This window comes from Homo sapiens, chromosome 6, assembly GCF_000001405.40.
Source record: "Homo sapiens chromosome 6, GRCh38.p14 Primary Assembly".
Classification (NCBI taxonomy): Eukaryota; Metazoa; Chordata; class Mammalia; order Primates; family Hominidae; genus Homo; species Homo sapiens.
Genome location: NC_000006.12, coordinates 162,712,217 through 162,733,856, shown reverse-complemented (window position 1 = coordinate 162,733,856; position 21,640 = coordinate 162,712,217). Strand labels below are relative to the sequence as shown.

Genomic DNA, 21,640 nt, shown 5'->3' with positions numbered 1-21,640 from the left:
GTTAAGGGTCTGAAGTTTAAAATAGAGTGGTCAGGAAGAGGCTCACTAAATAGCTAATTTTTAAACAGAAATTTGAAGCATCAAGAGATGAGGACACACAGGGTAAAATGCATTTCAGGCAGAGGAAACAGGAAGGGCAAAGGCGTGGCACTAACTGAGTTCCGGAGGCAGGGCCAGCAGAGTTGCATAAAGCAGCAAGGGTGGGCAGATCACACAGGGCCTTCCCAATAGAGGAAGCTTAGCTTTTACTCTGAGTGAGGCAGGGAGCCACCTGAGGGGTTGAGGTGACGAATGCCATGATTCGGCCTTCTCAAGTTTTAAAGGGAGCTTCTGGGCTCCACAATTAGAGAGGATGGCTTAAAAAAATTCAAAATAGAGACAAATAACAATTATAATAAGAAAGTAGGAGAATATGAGATAAGAAGAAAGGGTAGAATTGCTTTCCTTCATTCATCAAATATTTATTGAATACACTGTTAGGTTCTGGTTAAGATTAAAAAGTGACTTAGATGTGGATACTGCCCTCACGGAGAATTTACATAAGGAGATAAAACATGAGCAGAAATGACCATAATACAAAGTAGAACACAATGAATAAAGGATAACTTTCTATGTGGGTGACAGGAAGGGAGAATTAAAGAAGTCTTCTTAAAGCAGTTGGCATTTTGCTGGCCACAAAAATATAAGCTTCTTGACAGCATGTGTTCTGTCTTTTGCTGACTGCTAAATTCCTAGCATTTAAAACAGTGCTTTGCACATAGTCTGTGATCAATAGATATGTGTTACCTGATGATAGAATGAATTTGTATATGCAGATATGTAGGGAGAAGGGTGTTCGAGCAAAGGGAACAACATAAACAGAAACACAAAAATAAAGAATATGAGTTTATTTCCTTGGTTCAGATTGACTGAAGCAAATGAGAACAGTGGGAGATGAAATTTTAGAACACAGAATGGGATTAGATCACACAAGACCTTGCTGGCCCTGGGGAAGTATCTTGACTTTTTTTCTATAAGAATTGGGAAGCTCCAAAAGCTCTGAATAGTGATAGGAGCAGAACATTGTACCAGAAAGATTAGTGTAATTGTACTGATAATTGATTGAGGGAGTCAACCAATTGATAGGTGGATGATATTGTACAAGCCTAGACAAAAGGTGATGAGGGCACCCATTAGTTCATCGCCACTTGGTCCCTTCATCATTAGTACTTCTCTGCCAGAGACATCTGTTTATTTGTATTGTAATTATTTTACTTGTCTCTCTCCTTTTCTTCACTAATAATGTAGCACATTTAGCACTGGAGCTAGACACTTCTAATTATCCCCCAATATTCCTTGGCTACAGTAATAAAACATTGTGAGTTTGAGCCGGACACAGAGCTACCAGTTAAAGACTACATGTCCCAGCCTCTCTTGCAACTAGCTGTGGCCATAAGACTAGGTTTTGGCAATGGATTTGAGCAGGAGTGAGGATTGCTGTTTCTGGGACATGCCCTCATAGTGAAGCTGTTTGCTCTTCATTTCTTCCTGCCTCATTCTTGCAGATTGCTCCATACCCATTTTTCTCTCCTCCACCTGAAGTAGGTGTTGGAGATGATGCCCTTTTGGAACTACATAGCTTCCTTCATCCTTTTCCTGAGGAGACAGGTACGTGGGCTTGGGAGTTGCTTCATGGGTCAAGCTTTCATAGGCTTTTGCAAAAAGGGAAAATGTAGGTGTATTTATTACTAGGTTCTGGCCAGTTGGATGAGAATGAAAGTGGGGTGCTGTGTCTGGGTCATGCACATAATGGGAAGCTCTCTGCTTCCACTTTCCTCCTTCTTGAGGGCAGGTATTTGACCCTGGTGGTCTCGAGCCCCCCTTGTCTCAGGTGTCATTTTACAGGATGCAAAGAACAAACATGCTCCTATGCCCCTGCACCTGCCTCATGGGGAATGCTGCCCAACCTCCTGGGATTGCCTACAAAATTGAACTTCTATTATGAGAGAAACAACTTCCATCTTAATTAAGCTATTGTTATTTGGTCAGTGTTACAGAAGCCAAATTAATATTTTAATATATAATTTATAAATATTGATGATTACCACTACGTGTTAAATGAGCACATGATTGGTAAATATAAAACACACTATACATGTAAAGTATAGGTTGAACTATCCCTTATCTGAAATGCTTGGGACCAGAAGTGTTTTGGATTTGTTTTTGTTTTTTGTTCAAATTTGGAATACAGTCATCCCTCAGTCTCCATGAGGAATTGTTTCCAGGACCTCCTGCAGATACCAAAATCTTCAGATGCTCAAGTCCCTGATATAACATGGCGTAGTATTTGTATGTAACCTACACATTTCTACCTATATACTTTAAATCATGTCTATATTACTTATAATATCTAAAACAATATAAATGCTCCATAAATAGTTGCTATGCTCTATTGTTTAGGGAATAATGACTCAAAAAAAAAAGTCTGTACATGTTCAATACAGATAAAATTTTTATCCCAAACATTTCAATCCAAGGTTAGTTGAATCCATGGAGGCAGAATCTGTACAAAGAGCTGACTATATCTGTATTATATACTGATGGTCACGCCAGTTCTGAAAATCTGAAATCCAAAATGCTCAAAAGAGTTTTCTTTGAGTGTAATGTCAACACTCAAAAAGTTTTGTATTTTGGACCACTTCAGGTTTCAGACTTTTGGAATAGGAATACTCAACCTTTAATATTAAAAAAATTATTTATTCCATTCCCCTAAACTTTGAGCATAAAGCATCTATAGTCTTTTGAGAAGGAAAGCTGTAATAGAAAGCTTAGGCTGAACTCAACTTCTCTGTCACCATAACCCTGGGTCGATTTTCTAACTTGCTTCGTGATAAGCTTGTTCAGCACAGAAAGTATCTGACAAGATAAAGACAACAAAATACTGGGTTACTAGTTTCTGGTCATGGGCTCTATCACACCCCAAACAAGACTTTTAAAGGAAAATGAACTATGAAATCTTCAAGTTGTGTATCTCATATCTCTTTATAGGCAAGCACTATAAAAATGTGAATTTGAATATTATTTCATTGCAGGGCTTTTGTGATGCTTGTTTTCTTATAGAATGCAACAAAAATTTCATGGAAAGAAAGTCTAGTTTCTATTGAAGAAAAATATTTGACATTGAGATTTTAAAAATTTTGCCATTTACATTTATCATTATTTTTTCAATAATCTTGCACTCTCATATCCAGATTGTTTAAATAAGCATTTCTGCTTGCACAGCCCATTTGATGAAACATATTTATTATCAAGTTTATGTACTTGTATCACTATCGCACTCAGAGAAATATCAGGAGTCTCTGTATAACTCCTTATGATATATACAGTTCTTCATGTTTTAGGTGGAAGAGCATTGGAATGTTGACTTATCTAACTGGAAAAGTGGTTTGGAGGGTGTTGGCTCTTGGAGCATGAGGTTGCAATTAAGAAAAGCTGGAAATTGGCATACACGTCCTGAATCAAAATACACCTTCAGAAAGAGATGAGGACATTTTCACCTTATAATGCTGAGAAGTCTATACTGCTAAAGATAAAAATGGTGAAATGTAAATATTGGTTATGAAATTGAAAATTTTTATTTCCTGTACCACTGAAGTTATTTTGTATAAACGGTATTGTCCAGCCTTCTTTTATCAAGATTTGAATGTTGTTATTTTGGTTTTCCTCGGAGTACTAAGGGCAGGGACTTTGCTTTGCTGATCCCAAATCCCCAGAACTGTGCTTAGCAAACACTGGGTATTAAAAAAAAAAAAAAGAGAGACAGTTGTTGACTGAATAAATAGATGAATGGATAAATAATGTTTGCATTTAAGAATTACGATTTCCAATGGCAAGAGAGGTATTGCTAGTACAAGATTTTCCTTTAGAACATAAAAAGAGAAGATAATGGATCTCAATTAAGTTGTTTATAAAGAAGCCTGCTTCATAATCAATGTTTTTTTTAAGTCATGTAGGCATACTTATTACATTTGGCAATACAGAAACATCAGATTTTGCAGAACTATCTCTTTAGGTGTAAGATTATATTAAAGAATTAATATGATACAAGAATTATGAATACAGGTTTAGGAAAAAACAGAAAAGAACCCCAACCAGTAAAAAAAAAATTAAAGTATAACATTAAAAAACATCAAAATTGTAAATATTGTGTAGAAGAAAAACTAAATGATTAACCTGAATGGTTATGGTATTGCTGATAAATGCATCATCTTGACTCCTAGGAGAACCAATTTATGTGAAATTCCATGAAAAAGAATTAGTTACAACAAGCAGAATTTTAGTCCATTTCCAAGAATTTTAACTACTGTAAATCACCTGACACACTTCCCAATAATTAGGATATCGTTTTGCATAGCCACATGGGAACCTGGCCTAGAGGTCTATAGGTAATCTGTTTCATTCATGTATTTTAAGTATGTCGTTTAGGAATAAGTTATCAGGTTTGCAACCTATAAGCAAAGGAAATAATGTGACACTGGAAAACAACACTATTCATTTAACATAATGAATTGCCATGTAATAACTCAGATCTTCCCAGGGTGTAAATTACACAAATTTGAAAGATGCATTTATTATTTAATGCCTCATTCCCAGACAGTTGCTTACTCAGTAGCAAAATCTGTCTTAGCATACCAAGTGTAAAGCTATTTAACAAATAGGAAGGTTTAAAAAATATATACTATCATGCAGACAGCTAAAATATTTGTATATATTTTTAATCTTTTTTCTCTAATGATACTTAGAATATTTTATTTTTATTACTACAAATAATAGAGATGAAATATGAATTGTATTAGTAGCAGAGATATATGAGCTAAAGCTTGTATTGTTTAAAGCACATCATCTTAAAAGGCCTGTCAGGAAACAGTGTTCATATTAAGTTGGCTTTCAGTACTCTAAGAAGATGACATCATTTTGTAAGAGACAAGTGTTGTTAGAGCAAATGCTAGGATATTCTAAAATTTCCTAGGTTGAAGTGAAGAAATTTCTCATTATAGATTATTTCATGAGTTTATGTTCCCGGTTGTATATCAGCTCATGTTAAATTTTGCAAGAGTTTATGATTTCTAAGAACTCACCTTCTATAAGGCCCTTTGCTGAGTGGGGCTAGTTAGGAATTAGTAAGTAAAGGGGATCTTTTTTCCTCGTGTAAATAGCTTAAGAGTAATTTTGGGCGGTCCAGAAACCATAAGTTATCAGGAAGGTGCTTATAAATGGGCAGAGTACATCACTTGCCCAAGATTCTAACAACCTAGCCTGCCCCCCACACACTGTGGGGCACCGTTTGCTACTTGCCAAGTAACTGCCTTTTTTGGCAAAGACCACCCAGGACATGGCTCAGAGTCCATCCTAAGGCTGGCCAACCTCTGTAAATCTCGTGTCCCCTGATTCAGAGCGAGTGCATTTAATTCAGGAAGATCACTTACGACTGAGTTTTTCATCATGGCTTTGACTGTGAAACCCTCAGAAACCAGAGAGTGAGGCTGGTGCACCGGGAGCGGCTGTTGTGCCAGCAGCTTGGTCCTCTTCGGCATCTTGTCTGGGCATTTGTTTAAGCTCAGGGTCTCTTTTTCTGCCACCATCTTCCTAGAAAATGTCTTGTTCTCATAAAAAGTGTAGTAAAAGAATCAGTGGGCTTTACGGATGTGAGCAGGAGGTCTGGAAAAAAATATCAAAAGGCGCGATAATGGTAGAAATTCAACCCCTCGTAGTGCCCAGGTTGATCCAGATGTTTGGCAGCTCCTAGGTGAAGGGAGCTGGACCCTAGGGGCGGGGCGGGAAGAGGGCAGGACCTTGGCTAGAGCTGCAACAAGCTTCCAAAGGTAAGCCTCCCGGTTGCTAAGCGACTGGTCAACACGGCGGGCGCATAGCCCCGCCCCCCGGTGACGTAAGATTGCTGGGCCTGAAGCCGGAAAGGGCGGCGGTGGGGGGCTGGGGGCAGGAGGCGTGAGGAGAAACTACGCGTTAGAACTACGACTCCCAGCAGGCCCTGGGCCGCGCCCTCCGCGCGTGCGCATTCCTAGGGCCGGGCGCGGGGGCGGGGAGGCCTGGAGGATTTAACCCAGGAGAGCCGCTGGTGGGAGGCGCGGCTGGCGCCGCTGCGCGCATGGGCCTGTTCCTGGCCCGCAGCCGCCACCTACCCAGTGACCATGATAGGTACGTGGGTACCTGCCAGGTACAGCCTCTCTGCGCCGCCCCACGCCCCGGTATGGCGCCACGCCCCGCCTCGGCCGACCAGGACCCCCGGTGCCAACTGTCAATGACGGGGCCAAAGTGCCCGTGCCGTCCCCGGCCCGCGCCGCCGGGCTCCCCAGCTCAGCGACGCGGGTCCGGGGCCCCAGTGTGTGCGTTCGAAGCCCTCGCCTGCCCGCCCCTGCTCTGAGCGTTCTCATGAAGACCGCCTCGACGGGGACGCCAGGCGGCCCCGCACCCCCGCTCCTCGTTCGCGGTCCCCCGGACCGTGTGGGGTCCCGAAGCCTTCTCCCCGCCGCCGCCCCTCACCTTCGCCCCGCCGCCGCCCCTCACCTTCGCCCCTCACCTCACTGGCCGGTTGTGGTGCGGTTCAGGACCCATCGAGACCCACTCTCTGTGGGGCTCTTTCAGGAAACCGCAGCAAAGCATTAAACTCTAATGGAAGGCACCTGGTGAGGGTGGCTGGCTCCACAGAAACTCCTCCAGATAGATCTAAACTTGCTCCCTCGGATGTTTCCTTTTAAACTTCTCATTGGAGGGCTGAGATGAAAGAAACATTAAGAGTAAATAGTAGCCAAGATTAAATCTATTGCCTTTTGCAAAATAACCTTTCTTTTTTTTTTTTGTAAAAGAACGACCGAGGTGCAAGTTTGTGAACGAAACTTAGTGGCATCAGAGTTGTTCATGAACACTTGATGTGTAAGATGAGCAAAGGTCCTCTCTTCCAGGGTTGTTGAGCCAAAAGTTACTTTAGGGGCTATCCCTGAAAATTAATGGAAATGCACCATATGTTTGAAAAACAGTGCTAGATGGGGTTTCATTATTGTGGAGGTTTCTCCAGGTTATGTATGGAGGGTTTAGTGAGCTTGTTTATTCCTGAGGAGGGTCCTTTACAAAACACTTTTGATTGCAGTAAGTACGTTCGAAGTCAGATGTGGTCTGTCCAGAAGAAAGATGAGAGGTGGATTTATAAAGTATATGATCTTTATGCACTGAAAACACTTCTTACATCTGTTTATTTGTGAAGTTATTGTTAAAATGTAAACATTCTCCCCATCAGTGGGAGAATCAAGCCAGCTAACTGGCATGGTCTTTGTGGTAAAACAAGAATGTTGTCCAACTTTTCTTCCCTTTCTAGCATGGTCTGACTTTTGGTGAATGACTTGAAAGTTAATCAAATTACGAAAAAAATATTTTTTATGAGTCTTCTTGAGCTCTTTTTAGGTGACATTTACGTAAGATTCACTTGCAAGCACAAGTTTGAACTGAATCAGAAAACCAAGTAGAAGAGATTTTCCAATATCTGTGCTGTCAGTCTACAGGAAGAAAATAGCCTATACCTTATTTTGAAGACAGTTAAATACATTTTATTTTAATTTAACTTAATCTAGTGCACAGATAATTTTAAGAGAAACAAATTTATTGTAAAGCTATATAAAGACAAGCACTTAAGATCTAAAGAACATTACTCAGTTATAAGTTATGACCTAATAAGTGATTATATAAATAACTTTATTAGGATGAAATGTGTTTGGACAGTTCTGTTTAGTTTTATCTGGAATTCTTCCAATAAGGAAGAAATATCTTTGGAGTTGATGATTAAACAGTTATCAATTACTGGTAATGACATGGAGAATATAAGGTTGGTTTTTAAAAGTGTTATTTCTCTCACTCCAGCCATGGTTTTACATAGTGCAAATAAGTGTGCAGTACAACATAAATGATTAAATCCATGCCTGCTTTCCCTAGGAAATGTGCCTTACATATAAGATCATGGACAATGTGCAATAAAATATTCAACTAGTTGCATTGCCTAATTCTGAAATTAGACACACGTCTTTTTTTTTTTTTTTTCCTCTTTTTGAGACAGGTTCTGTCTCTGTCACCCAGGCCGGAGTGCAGTGGCACCATCACAGCTCACTGCAGCCTCCAACTCCTGGGCTCAAGTGATCCTCCCATCTCAGCCTCCTGAGTAGCTGTGACTACAGGTGTGTGCCACCATGCCTGCCAATTTTTTGTTATAGTTTTTGTAGAGATGGAGTTTCATAATGTTGCCCAGGCTGGTCTCAAACTCCTGGGCTCAAGCAATCCTCCCGCATTCGCCTCTGAAAGTGCTGGGATTACAGGCATGAACCACCACGCCCAGCCTCATTAGCCACATTTCAGTAAACATCTGAATGGTCAGTTTGGGATTTGGGTGTCGTGAACAGTGCTAAAGGTAGGTGAAAGTGAAAACCATTAAAAGGAAGCCTTGGAGTGATGGGTTTTGTGTTTTTGTGACAAAAATTCAGAGCCAGGAAAGACATTATAGACTTTATCCAGTGATCACTAAAATGTAAATAGTATGTATCTGGGATTTTCTGTTAAAGGTAAGAGTGCTTCTCAAAGCTTGCTCCTTTCAGGCCTATGCTTTCTCTAACTATTACACTCACCTTGTTGCGGGATTCGGGAGTATGAGGGAGACCTCAGGTTGAAGCAGGAGAATCTTTATTGAGTGTACTCAGGCCCAGCTGACTCACATCCAAAAGACTGGGCCCAGAATAAAGACAGTACTTGACTTTTATACACACTTCACAAACGGAGGTGGGCTAGCTTGAAGCAAGCTTACAGTGGCGTGAAAGCAGGGATACAGAGGCAGGACAAAGACAGGATTGCAGATGACCATTGCCAAGCAACCCAGATGTTCGTTTTCTAGGTTTGCCTGGGCACAGGCTTATCCTATAACCTTCTCTGTGGTGCCCAGGCAGCTGTAGTTCAGGCCTACTCAGGCTTTTTATGACCTTCGTTGTACTACTTAGATAAAACAGAATACTTGAAATCACTAGTTACAGAGAACAAGAGTCTATAAACTCATTCTGTAAAACAAAGGAAAATTTGTTTTTCTTCTCCCTGTGTTGAGGGAGTGCTGAGAGAGTCTCCAGAGCATATTAGATAATATTATCAAGACTTTTCCTGGGTCTAGGCTGTGCCTGTTGCTGCTTCTGGAACAAGTTAGCCTAAAACAGGAAAACTTATTTCTCTTTCTTTTTAATTTTATTGTTCTTTAATTTCCCGCCTCAACCTTACTGCGAATAATATTCTGCCACTTTATTTAAATCCTGGCTTAGTTTAAGGAGAAACGTAAAGATGGGTTTCCTGGTAGAATAGGAGTAAACAGGACTGACTGTGACCTCACTGCTAATGACATGTACCTTCCTTTTACTTTCTCAAAACCGAAGATTCCCTTATTGGCATGAGGACTGTTTCAAAAGTACTTACATTTCCCACCTGCATTGTGATTGATGTGTTGAATGCCCTGACCCAGGCAGCTACAGAAACATAATTTAATTGAAGTCGGTTAAAAATTGTGCCTTTGTGGAAAGTGTGGAGAAGGACTTCAAGATGATATAAAGCAGAATAGAAAAGCTTAAAAGAATTCAATTTAGAAAAATGTAATTTTTGGTACCTCTATTAAAAATATATTTTGACTTTTTTAAAAATGAGCAATTCTTTGTGTTTAAAATGGAATGTTAGTGGGGATATTTGTGGTATGTTCTAAATGTTCTGTAGAACTGGATTTAGGTATTTGAGTAACAGCAGATATTAGAGTGCATGGTTATATATACAACAATGTTGTCAGTATTGAAATACACATTCAGTGTCTTAGACTTTTAAGAAGATTTTTGATTGACAAAAACCATTCATTGGAACATAGTCTCTTCTATACCTTGTTTCACTTAGCATCTCTTTGAGAATTTACATATCTGCATGTCCAGATCCACTCCACAGCGATTCCTGCCTAGTCTTTTATAGGATACACTAATTATGAAAATATTTACCAATAAATAAGCACTCATTAGGTTTACAGACAACTGTTGTCAGAAGTGTTTGTGGCCATATCTTTTTACTTGCACATGTAAGCATAGATGTAAAATAAAAATCGTATGACAATTTGAGTTAAAGAGTTTGTAGATTTTACATTTTCCTAGGTATTTCAAAATTTTTCCAAAATAAGTTGCCCAATTTTACAAGCCTATCTAAAGCCTCCACTAATACAACATGGTAGTAAAGAGCTGCCCTGCCCCTCTGGGCTGAAAATTGCCAAAAGACGTCCTTCCTGAGACTGACTCAGCTTTCACTAGCAGAACGCCTCCTGGATCTCCGGTCCCCCACCTCTCTCTCACCCTAGGGGTAGTGCCTTTCAGTGTACAAGCTGCACAACTGTCCTTGGTGGCCCTGCCCTCCCTTTCAGTGTGTATAAGAGTGCCCATTTCCTCCCATGTGCCATCGAAGATTTTTTATTTTTGCCGTCTTGACAGATGAAAAACAGTATCTTTTAACTTTTCAAATTAATTTAGAAGAAAACTTCTCATTCTCATCTTATAGTGCGTTAGTTTTGCAAAAGCAGATCCAGTGATTCCAGCACCTGCTATGTACCCTTAACTGCTCTAGGTGCCAGGGAAACGAGGGAACACAACAGAAAAAGTCCCTTGCCATCAGGAATGTATATTCCGACTTCACCATTTGGCTACACATCTGCATATTTGTTTTCAAGCTTGTGTGCAGTGAATTTTAAAGTCTCAATTTATATTTCTAGTTGAATATACTGTGTACTGCTCTTTGCCCTGCCATTTTGATAAGTTGATGAAAACCAGCTCTATGCCTAAGTACCCCAAAGCTTCTGTTTATAATGAGGTAAAATTGTGTCAAAAATAGGCTCTACTAAAGTTTTGCATAGAAGATTTTATGTAATTATATAATAGTTCTTCCTTGGGTCCAAAGGCTCTAAAATGACCCTTTGCCCTTTACAATTTTGGCCCTATTTCTGAGGATGTTTTTGAAGTCTGCATTTTTTGAAACCTCATAGTTTCATTGCCTGAAAATGATACAATGAAAGTACTTTGTATTAAGATATGTAAATCCATTCCTACCTCCAAAGTTTCTTTGAAAAATGCAAAAAAAAGAGTTCTTACTTCGAAATGCTTCATATTCATGAAAGCAGTTTTAATGCAAAATACTTTATTCTGTTAGCTATTAGTTCTTTGATCAATGAAAATTGTTTCTTACCTGCTGTTTCTGCAGCCTTTAATTGTAGCCCAGTGCTTATTCAATGTTTCTGTTTTAATTTGCATTTAATGAGCTCATTTTAAATGTTTCTTCGTAGTAATCTGAATGGTTTCTCTCCCTCAATTTTGTAATATTAAAGAGACTCATGTGACAGTCGGCTGATTTATGTTGCAGCTCACCTCCCTGGCTTATTTACTTCATCCTGTAGCATAGAATCTTGGTTAAAAGGAATTACAGTAATAGGATTCTTTTCCCCCAGTAATTTCCTAATTACCTAGGACTCTTAACAGATTAACTCAAATGTCTGTTTTTCACCAAATAGAAACCTTTTTTCCTTGAATGAATAGGTATTTATGATTATTATTTCAGTGTCATTTCTTTATACCATATGTATTAGATGGTGCTGGGTAGGGATGGGTACACATAGGTTGTATTTGTCTATATATTGCCTGTGGGGAAGGTACATAGAAATGACCATTTCTTCCCAATAAGTTTGTGGCCTAGTTGGGCTGATTAGGCTTATATTGGTGGTATAGATTGCACCTTCACCACCACAGAAGAAGAGTAATTAGAAAGATGTATGTACATATCAGCACACACATACATGCCTGCAACACGTGATTTTTCATGTTTCTTTTGTTCATTTGATTCTCGTTGATCTGAATGCCCTTTCTTTCTGTTGAACATCTCAAAACTACTGTTCATCACTCAAGATCCAGTTCCAATGGCACCAACTTTATGTGAAATTTTCCATGTCACCTCTTACCCTCTTTTTAGTGTGAGGCAATTAGCACCTCCTTTAGAGTCAGCCAACATTTTAGTAACTACCCTTCATCAGGTCCTTGTTCATAGTCTAGAAGGGGTACAGAAAAGTAAAGATTTACAAACCTGAAAGGTGGGTATCATAATATAGGTTTATACAAGGAAGTACTGGAAAACTCAGCCTATAGAGCTTGGAAGATCCAGCTGTTTCCCAGTGGAGCCATTCCAGTTTTCCTGCAGGACAAGTAGGAGTTAACTAGGTGAAGGCGGCCTTCTAGACAGGCATGGAGGGGAGAGAAGAGAATAGAATGAAAGGTATCTGGTGAGGCTGCAGGCACACCAGATAAGCTTTGTCAAGGAGGTAGGTTTAAAGTTGGCGATAGGGAGGAGTCACTGAACCATTATCTACAAAAGAGCATTATGAACAGGTTGTATTTTAGAAAGATGTCTGTGGCAGTACTAGAAAGTTATGAAATAGAACGTTGTAGAAAATAGTTACACTAGTGCCAGCAAGTCCAGATAAAGTGTTAATAGAGGACTTCTCATGACCTTCATTGTACTTCTTAGATAAAACAGAATACTTGAAATCACTAGTTACGGAGAACAAGCGTTTATAAACTCACTCCATAAAACAAAGGAAAGAAGTCCAGATAATGTTTAATAGAGGACAGTCTTCGACTGAGAATGGCAGGGTAATTGTGCAGTAGGAGATGGCTTTTCTCAGGGTGTTGACATTGATTTGATATGTCATTACATCATCTCTGATTAAAGGCCATATTTCTTTTTAAAAAGTTCTTATTTTTGTAGAATAGATTAATGTCTCTTATTGACAGGTGTTTTATTTCATGTTACTAAAGCTTTATTTGTATTCCAAAAATAGTTTGTATCTCCTTCTTTGATATGTGGAACATGATGCTTAGGGTTCTATTTATAGTTTCTTCTCTGTGTGGAGAGAACAATGTCATCAGAGCTGTGGATATCGTGTCACCCAGAATAGTGCAGAATAGTTTCTTCCTCTTAGATATCTGCATGACTCATATACCTAGGCACATATTAAGACCATCTATGGGCCGGGCGCGGTGGCTCACGCCTGTAATCCCAGCACCTTGGGAGGCCGAGGCGGGTGGATCATGAGGTCAGGAGATCGAGACCATCCTGGCTAACAAGGTGAAACCCCGTCTCTACTAAAAATACAAAAAATTAGCCGGGCGCGGTGGCGGGCGCCTGTAGTCCCAGCTACTCGGGAGGCTGAGGCAGGAGAATGGCGTGAACCCGGGAAGCGGAGCTTGCAGTGAGCCGAGATTGCGCCACTGCAGTCCGCAGTCCGGCCTGGGCGACAGAGCGAGACTCCGTCTCAAAAAAAAAAAAAAAAAAAAAAAGACCATCTATGGACAGATGTGTGTATTTTTAAGAGTATTGATGGCTTCTTGATGATTCTCTCCAATTTACTTTTACTGTAAGACCTGAACAGAGGCCCCCATAAAGTTTCACATGAGAGCCCTTAACTTTGGAGGAGAGAATGTTCAATAGTTAGCAGCCTCACCCATTTTGCACATCTCTACTCCTACCCTCATCAAATGAGGGGGAAAATTGGTGATTAGGGAGTTAATATTGGTGTCCTGATTGAGACTTTTTATTATTTATTTACATAATTGTTGAATACGCCAGTTACTCCTATTGTGAGATATTTTTGGAGTTTCAGTGCATAAATAAGATCTTGTGATGAAGCCCTCTGTAACTGCGTAGTCATTTTTAAAGCTTATTGTACCCGCAGAGTAGATCCATTTTCCAGATCATGAAATGATAGGAAGTAGACACCTGAAACTTGCTCGTATTAATAAAATGGAGAAATAGGAAGGAACATTTGTAATATCTGTGTTTCTGAGGTCAACCTTTAGTTTTTTTTTTTTTTTTTTTTTTTTTGACATCTACCTGCACTCCCTCTTTTCTGTCCCCTCATTTTTTTCTTACCCACATTCCTTGATTTTCTCAGAAGCTGGAATTTAATATTTCATTCTTCAGCTCAAAGGAGCAGCTGTTGTCTGAACAACAGGTGAATTTCTTCCTTACTTGTTGCCACAGGGCTTGACTGTGGGTTGTAATGTTTCTGAGGGTTATCACAGGAGTGGCCTGACCGGAACAGACCAGGCTTCACCACAGCTCCTACTGGAGACATTCCCTAGATTGGGAATTGTCTGCAATGGAAATCTTTGTAGTCTCTGGCTCTGCATTTTCCTTCCAGGCAAATCCAGTCCTGATTACAATTTTTTTTTTCCATTGAAACAAAATTGAGGAATGATGAACTCTGGGCAGCTAGAGGATGGGGGCAAGTTAGGTTTGCTCCTTGGAGAATTAGACAGATTTAAGAATAATATTCCCTGTGCCCTGGGTCTTCTCTCCACCCTTGAAATTCGACCTCCTTTCTCCTGAAAGTCCTTTATAGCTCTCTGGTGAGTTCCCAGAGTGTGAGAGGTACAGATTTAAGCACAAGTGAGGTCATGTTCTCTGAGGTGCTGCTTCTCTGGGCTCCTGACCACAGACAAATGTAGACTGCATGATCCAGTTGATATTCACCAAATTTGTATAATTACATGTGACAATATATAAAGACGTTTTTACATGAATATGTCTGAATTCATAGGATCAGATGGGAAGTATATGTGTTTTATTGGGCAGTCAATTTAGACATAATCATATGATACAGAGAGTGATATTTCGTAGAGATCTGTTGTGGGCTTTCCACTCTTGTTCATTTAGGAATCTGTGAGATGCTCAACCTATGATTGGAATTGGAATTTCTTCCTTTTGTCCCTCTCTAGAGTTTTCTCCATTATTCATTGTCCCTTTCTCGTGTGTGTGTGTGTGTATGTGTGTGTGGCATCTGCCGTGTCTCACTACATGCAGAGCTTCTGACATAGGTATTGACTTTTATATCATCTTGATTTCAAAGAAGTCACCAAATAATCTTATTCTCAGTGTCTTGAGTTTTATACCAAGTCTCTGTGCTTGTTTTTTATGTTCTGGCAATTTCTGGGCATTGTTGCCCATTTTAGAACTCTATTTTGTTTTGTGGGGGACAGTTCTGGAATAAATTTTTTTTTTTTTGAGACGGAGTCTTGCTGTGTTGCCCAGGCTGGAGTGCAGTGGCGTGATCGCGGCTCACTGTAAGCTCCGCCTCCCAGGTTCACGCCATTCTCCTGCCTCAGCCTCCCGAGTAGCTGGGACTACAGGCGCCTGCCACCATGCCCAGCTAATTTTTTTTGTATTTTTAGTATAGACGGGGTATCACCGTGTTAGTCAGGATGGTCTCGATCTCCTGACCTCGTGATCCACCTGTCTCGGCCTCCCAAAGTGCTGAGATTACAGGCATGAGCCACCGCGCCTGGCCTCTGGAATAATTTTTAATGGAGATTCAACATCTAAGAAACTTTCATATTGGATCAAGACATAGTTGTCACAATTCTTAGTGTGTAAATTCATTAAAAGTCCCTTCTGGCTTTTGCAGCCAATTTAATCATCTTATGCTTAATAGAATGCAAGTTATACAGGTAAAGTCAGTCAGAGAGGGGATGGGGATGCTATTTGAGATGAAGTTCCTAGAAGTAATAAGATTTTTTTTGTCTTAAAACAGTGATGATAGGATGATTAAGTGATCTAAGATGGACAAATATGTGTGAGTTCTTAATAATTGGGAAAGATCTTTTTTAAAAAGTGTTAATGTGACCATTTAGTTACCATAACTGGAAACTAGATAGCATTAGGGGCCATTTGTATATGTAAAAATATCAGGAAGTATACCGGCAAATTATATCTTTGGGTTGTGGGATGTTTTCTTTTATTATGATTGTGTTTTTCAGATCTTCAGCGTTAAGCGTATAATGTTTTGGAAATACTGAAAAGCAATGTGTTATAAACACAATCTTCAGGACAAATGCATTGTGGTAATACATTTAAAACGGATTCTACTTTTGTGTCAAATTATGTCAGATAAATTTTCAATGGTAGCATACTATGCTCATGTTCTGGTCATAAAAGTAGTGTTTTCAGGAAAACAAACATTAGAACCATAATTTCACTTTCTTTAATATTATACACTATCGGGGCATGGCCAGATTACTGTATTAGTTTTTGTGTAGTTCCTGTTGTTGCTGTAACGAATTACCACAAGTTTAGTGACTTTTAAACACAAATTTATTTTCTTACAGTTCTGGAGGCCCAAAGTCCAAAATGACTTTTTTTTTTTTTTTTTTTTGAGACAAGATCTCCCTCTGTCACTCAGACTGGAGTGCAGTGGCACAAACACAGCTCACTGCAACCTTGAATTCCTGGGCTCAACTTCCCGAATAGCTGGGACTATAGGTGCATGCCAACCTGCCTGGCTAATTTTTTTATTTTTTATTTTTTGTAGAGACAGGATCTTGCTATGTTGCCCAGACTAGTCTTGAACTCTTGGGCTCAAGTCATCTTCCCACCTCAGTCTCCCAAAGTTGTCAGATTACAGGTGTGAGCCACTGTGCCCAGCCCCAAAGTGACTAAAAGGGACTAAAATCAAGGTGTTCGCTGGGCTAGCCCCTTCCATTAATAGAAGCTCCTGTGGAGACTCCTCTTTCACTTCTGGAGGCTGCTGGCATTCCTTGGCTCCTGGCCACATCACTCCAGTCTCTGCTGCTGTGGTCACATTGCCTTCTCCTTTACTGCCATCAAATCTTGCTCTGCCTTCCTCTTAAAAGAACACATGGGGTTACATTCAGGAGCCACCAGGATAGCCTCTTCGTCTCCAGATCCTTAATCACATCTGCAAAGTCCCTTTTGTCATATCGGGAAACAGTCGTAGGTTTCAGGGACAAGGAGGCATTATTCAGCCACCACAGTTACCAGTAATGCTTCACCATTTGAACGTATGGTTAGGTACTTCCTTATGAAGGAAGAATGACAGAGAGCTACAACTTGATTTTTGCCTATTGTGAGGTCACTTAAAGGTAATGCAGTAGTGTTACACATGAGGAGTCTGTGTGTGTGTGTGTGTGTGTGCGCGTGTGTGTGTGCGTGCGCGCGCGCGCAGGCGGGTAGGGTGTATGGACTAGTTGATGAAGCTAGCCAAGGACATAACTCACTTTTCAAGGTAGTTTTCTCAGGTGGCAAAAGAAGGTGTGAATATTCTCCTGGACTCCCATAGTGCATTGCAGCTGGGTAATTTGATATGTACCAGGTTGCTAATTTGTATCCTGTAGAGAAGGGGAAGTTTTGTTATGCTTTGGACAGGAGATACCACTTCACATAACAGATGATCAGGCAAAGTGGAAGCAAATAACCATTATGTGTATATTGCTTTCTGATTTGACAGTTCCCTATGAGCGTTAGACACTTCATGCTCCCTGGAATAGTTTAACATTGTCCTGTCCTTTGTAAATAATAACTAATATGGGTTGGTTGAAAATTATACAGTTAGAATTTTAAATTATTAAGTTGAGAAGGACGAAAGAGCGAAATCTTGTAATTTCTCACAGATGTCAGCATAGAATTTGGTTTCTTGAGGCAGTTTTAACAGAAACATTTGGAAAATATTCCCTTATACATTGTTAGTACAGTTAGGAGAAACTCTAATATGGAATAAATTTTTTAAATAGATGAATGCAGAATTTGGTTTTTAAAGAAGAAAACATTTATTTTTTGCTGAAAAAAGAAAATGTTAAATTCGGCAAATATTTATTGACACCTTAAATTATAGGATTTATGATAGGCACTAGGCGTGCGTATCTAAATGAGGAAGTCACAGTTAGTGAAGATGCTGTGTACACATGGAAAGTAACCATTGACAATAATAGATGTTATCATGGAGGTACGCTTCATTGTGTGATAAAGCAGGGGAACCTTCAGCAGAGGTGGAATTTATTTGAGCTGGATCTTAACAACAGACTGGACTCCTGAGCAGGCCAAGAAAGAAAGCGCGTTTGAAACAGAGAGGCTGGCCCCAGCAAGATGGCAGGCTTGTTAGCAGAGGCTGTGTTGGGAAGGATGAGTAGTTGACGGGATGGAGTACAGGGAGCATGGAGTGGGAGGTGATGATAGATTAGGGTGTCAGGACCAGCTCAGTGCAGTTTTCCATGCCATACTGGAGAATTCAGGTTTTGCTCTGAGTAATGAGGAACCGCTCAATCTTAATGCTAGGAACTCTAAGGCAGTAGGAAGTGGCTGTGTCTTGTCGCTGAAAGTGAGATGTGAATTCAAATTTGAAATATAAAATAAAATTGCCAGTAGCCAAATTAAGCACTTGGAGCTATTACACAGCTTCCCACTTAGGATCTTTAAACTATTAGGGCAATTAGCTGTACTTTAATATAATCAGAAGAAACAAACCCTTCAAAAGGTTTGTGTACTTCAGACTGTCTTGACAGAGTTATTTTCCTCTAAACTTTAAAAACCGAATTTCATTCCATCTTTATAGTGTATCTTTACTTACCTGCCTTATTCTTGAGGGAATAAGCGTGCTCATACTTAATAAATAATTGTTGCCTAAATGAAAGTGTGATTCAAAGGAGAGAAGACCTTTGTCCTTGCCTCCGGTTTGTCTTCTTCCATGTCCCTTGAGGAATCCAGTCTCTTTTGATATTAACCTTTGGGGTGGGGCCCCACTTCATTTATCTTTGGGGCTCCTAGCCTAGCAGAATCCCATCAGGTGTTGAGATGGGAGAAAAAAATTAACAAATAGGGGAAGTAACTATATGCCTTGACTTTGGTGAAAATTAAGTATCTGAGGAGATGGTTCATTAATTTTAAGAGAGAGAGCTTTGTCTGTCATCTTTTCCATGCAAATACCTAGCACAAGGACGATGACTTTTTCCTTTCTTCTTTTTTTCCCTTGTCCTTTACTGTTGTTTCTTCTTACTGCTTCCTTAATGCTTGCCCTTAGAGGGAAGTGCTTAAATTATTTGAATTTTGGAAGAAGTAGAGATTTTTAAAAGTGGTTACTCTATGCAGCAGGTTTAGGGTGTAAATTACGTAGATGCTTTGTCTCTTTTCCACCTTTAGCTTTTAACTTTACAACAAATGCACTTTTGCTTCATTGGGGTCTGTATTTACTTGTTTCCCTAATGCAGCTTTTCTCCATGAAATGCTCTCAGTAGAAACATATGCTCAAAGCTTCAGAGTAATTACAATATCACTAAAAGGTTCGTAATCACATTACTGAAACTAAATGTTAAAACATTTGATTTTTCTTGATCCAATCATTTCAATTTAATTCTAGGCTACTCCGTGATTGATGGAGGAAACATGGCAGGCCAAAGTCAGGGGGTATTTATAATGCCAAAAGCCTTGGAGGGAAAACCTCAAGGCAATTTAATTTGGGTGGGAGCTCATTTAAATTATTCCGAAGGGTTTTTTAAAAAATGGGAAGAGCAGGTTTGTTTCAGTGCCTGCTCTCAGGGCCCCTCCCTCCCTGTCACCAGTGTCCCTGCATCTCCTCAGCCCCTGGTTAGACAAAGGCCCCGTGACGCAAAGCAAAGAAGGAAGTCTGATTTTTTTCACAATTGTTCTAAAGATGTTCTTTTGTGTTAAAGACTGGCTTAAACTTGAACGTTTTTCTTGTAAATCAGGGGTAGTTTTGAGATATTTGCGTCTGTTTACGGTAAGCAAGCACACCTCCAGCAGGGCCACCACATAATTAAGTCACGGGACATGCCGACAGCCTCACTTACCCATGAGGATGCAGAGTGGTGTGAATAAAAAATCTACCTTTACCTCATTGCTCACAGCAGGGCGGAGAAATGATCAAACGTCACATTCCTGATGGTGGCTGTTCTGAAAAACCATTTATTTTATTTTTATTGAATTACGGAGACAAGTGAATGTGAAATTTCTGAAGCAATGTGAATTTTCTTAATTTTTAGCACAGTTTGTTTTAATCATATACATTACAGAGCAGTCATTTTAGAATATTTACTGATTTGCCTTTGATATCTGCTCAGCTAGAGGTCTGGATATAATGCTGAGTTATTTTAATAATTAGCTTCTATAATTCTGCTTCTGAATGGTTATTTCATCCTGTCTTTTAAGTTCTTTTTTTTTGCTTTTACAAAACAGTATAAGTATAGCTAACAGACAAATATTTTGCCAATAATCATACATAAAGCACTTGGTGACATTTGAGTCTTTTTATTAAATTTCTGAAGGTGAATTTTGAACCCTAATTGTAGGATTTTTGATAATGGGATATAACACTATGATATTTCTTAACACTTTTTATTCCCTGAATCTGGCATACTTTTTCTGCCTTCCCTCCCTTGTAGCAAAAGAGACCTAATTTTTTTTTTTTTTTTTTTTTTGAGGTGGAGTCTCACTCTGTTGCCCAGGCTGGAGTGCGGTGGCGCGATCTTGGCTCATTGCAAGCTCCACCTCCTGGGTTCACGCCATTCTCCTGCCTCAGCCTCCCGAGTAGCTGGGACTACAGGCGCCCGCCAGCACGCGTGGCTAATTTTTTGTATTTTTAATAGAGACGGGGTTTCACTGTGTTAGCCAGGATGGTCTTGATCTTCTGACCTCGTGATCCGCCCGCCTCGGTCTCCCAAAGTGCTGGGATTACAGGCGTGAGCCTGGCCAAAGAGACCTAATTTTATAAATACCAGTTTCTTGCCATTCTTCCACCTCCTTGAAGGTAGGTTTTTTGTTTATTTGACTGATTGATTCTACTTTTTGAAATCAAGTTTGGAATTTAAAAAGTATATTGCCCATGTCTAGTAGCACTTCTTATTCACTTTCTTTCACATCTCAAATCACCCTTCCGTTCAAACTATAATATTACAGCATCTCATATACTTAGTATTTCTCCTCCACACTCTAGTGTGGTGAAGTGGTGGTAATAGTGCCCCTTCAGAGGGGTTTTACTCTGGAGGAACCGGAACTGAAGTGAGTAACCCTAGTTTTATGTGGAGGTTTCATAAGTTTGTTAGGCCTGGAAAATGGGGAAGTGACCCTGGTTTTTACATTCATATGTTAATAGTTTTCTCTTGCTTCCATGAAATAATCTCAGAAGACAGGTTCAACTTTAGGACAGCTATGTAACTTCATGTTTGGACATTAAGTATGGGGATGATTGTCTTAACTAGGTTTCTATCATATGCCCTATGTGGTGCAAGCCAGAGATAAACATGTTGGATCTGGGCTTTGCTTTTTACCCTACTTACAAACTAATGAGTTAGCCTGTTTATATCATGGAGACTGGCAAAAGATATGAGACATGGGTCAGAGATTAAGGGGCTTTATTACTCATAGTATGGCAAGTTGTATAAGCGTCATGATATTTACTCTAGTTCCTTTGCCCCTGAATCTCACGGGGTGATGTGATACAGCCCAGATGGATGCTGTGCATGCAGTAGGTTTGCATTGCAGATGATGACTGCTGAGCTTAGGGAATCTTCCATTTTTATAGCAAGCAGTACCTATGCTCTTTGTCTGGGGTTAGACATTACTTCATTATTTAAGGTTATCAGATGTATAAACAGTCCTGAGAAGTGGCCCAGGTAAAAGAGCAGTCAGGACAATGCAGTCTTGAGAAATGGCCCAGGTAAAAGAGCAGTCAGGACAATGCAGTCTTGGTATCCCA

General features: G+C 39.8%; 2 protein-coding genes across 25 annotated transcripts in view, besides 3 other annotated features; one reads left to right on the top strand and one right to left on the bottom strand.

Annotated features, from left to right (window-relative positions):
• Positions 1-6,725, bottom strand: part of PACRG (parkin coregulated) — a 588,369-nt gene extending 581,644 nt beyond the window's left edge. For 12 of the 20 annotated variants that reach the window (NM_001080379.2, XM_011535461.4, XM_011535462.4 and 9 more), the window contains exon 1: positions 5,466-5,883. In NM_001080379.2, the coding sequence (NP_001073848.1) occupies positions 5,466-5,621 (156 nt within the window). In that variant the 5' untranslated portion in view covers positions 5,622-5,883. Of the gene's footprint in view, positions 1-5,465; positions 5,884-6,179; positions 6,316-6,564 lie in introns of those variants that run through there. The other 8 variants (NM_152410.3, NM_001080378.2, XM_017010275.3 and 5 more) reach the window with 5 other exon arrangements.
• Positions 5,974-6,513: a silencer, noted in NCBI's record as "silent region_17768". NCBI's record gives its function as "represses an Ori minimal core promoter by ATAC-STARR-seq in GM12878 lymphoblastoid cells {active_cell/tissue: GM12878}" and the evidence as "EXISTENCE:reporter gene assay evidence [ECO:0000049][PMID:35858748]".
• The window catches only part of PRKN (parkin RBR E3 ubiquitin protein ligase), a 1,380,350-nt gene continuing 1,364,800 nt past the window's right edge, over positions 6,091-21,640 (top strand). For all 5 annotated transcript variants that reach the window (XM_024446449.2, NM_013988.3, XM_011535863.2 and 2 more), the window contains exon 1: positions 6,091-6,195. Coding sequence is in view for 4 of the 5 variants with exons in the window: in NM_013988.3 (NP_054643.2) it covers positions 6,189-6,195 (7 nt within the window). In the remaining variant the exon portion in view is untranslated. The remainder of the gene's footprint in view (positions 6,196-21,640) is intronic.
• Positions 6,263-6,484: a silencer, noted in NCBI's record as "fragment chr6:163148405-163148626 (GRCh37/hg19 assembly coordinates)". NCBI's record gives its function as "represses an EF-1alpha promoter that drives an FKBP-Casp9 reporter gene in an ReSE screen in K562 erythroleukemia cells {active_cell/tissue: K562}" and the evidence as "EXISTENCE:reporter gene assay evidence [ECO:0000049][PMID:32094911]".
• Positions 18,961-19,461: an enhancer, noted in NCBI's record as "H3K27ac hESC enhancer chr6:163135428-163135928 (GRCh37/hg19 assembly coordinates)". NCBI's record gives its function as "activates a minimal SCP1, AML or CMV promoter by ChIP-STARR-seq in naive H9 embryonic stem cells {active_cell/tissue: H9 hESC(naive)}" and the evidence as "EXISTENCE:reporter gene assay evidence [ECO:0000049][PMID:30033119]".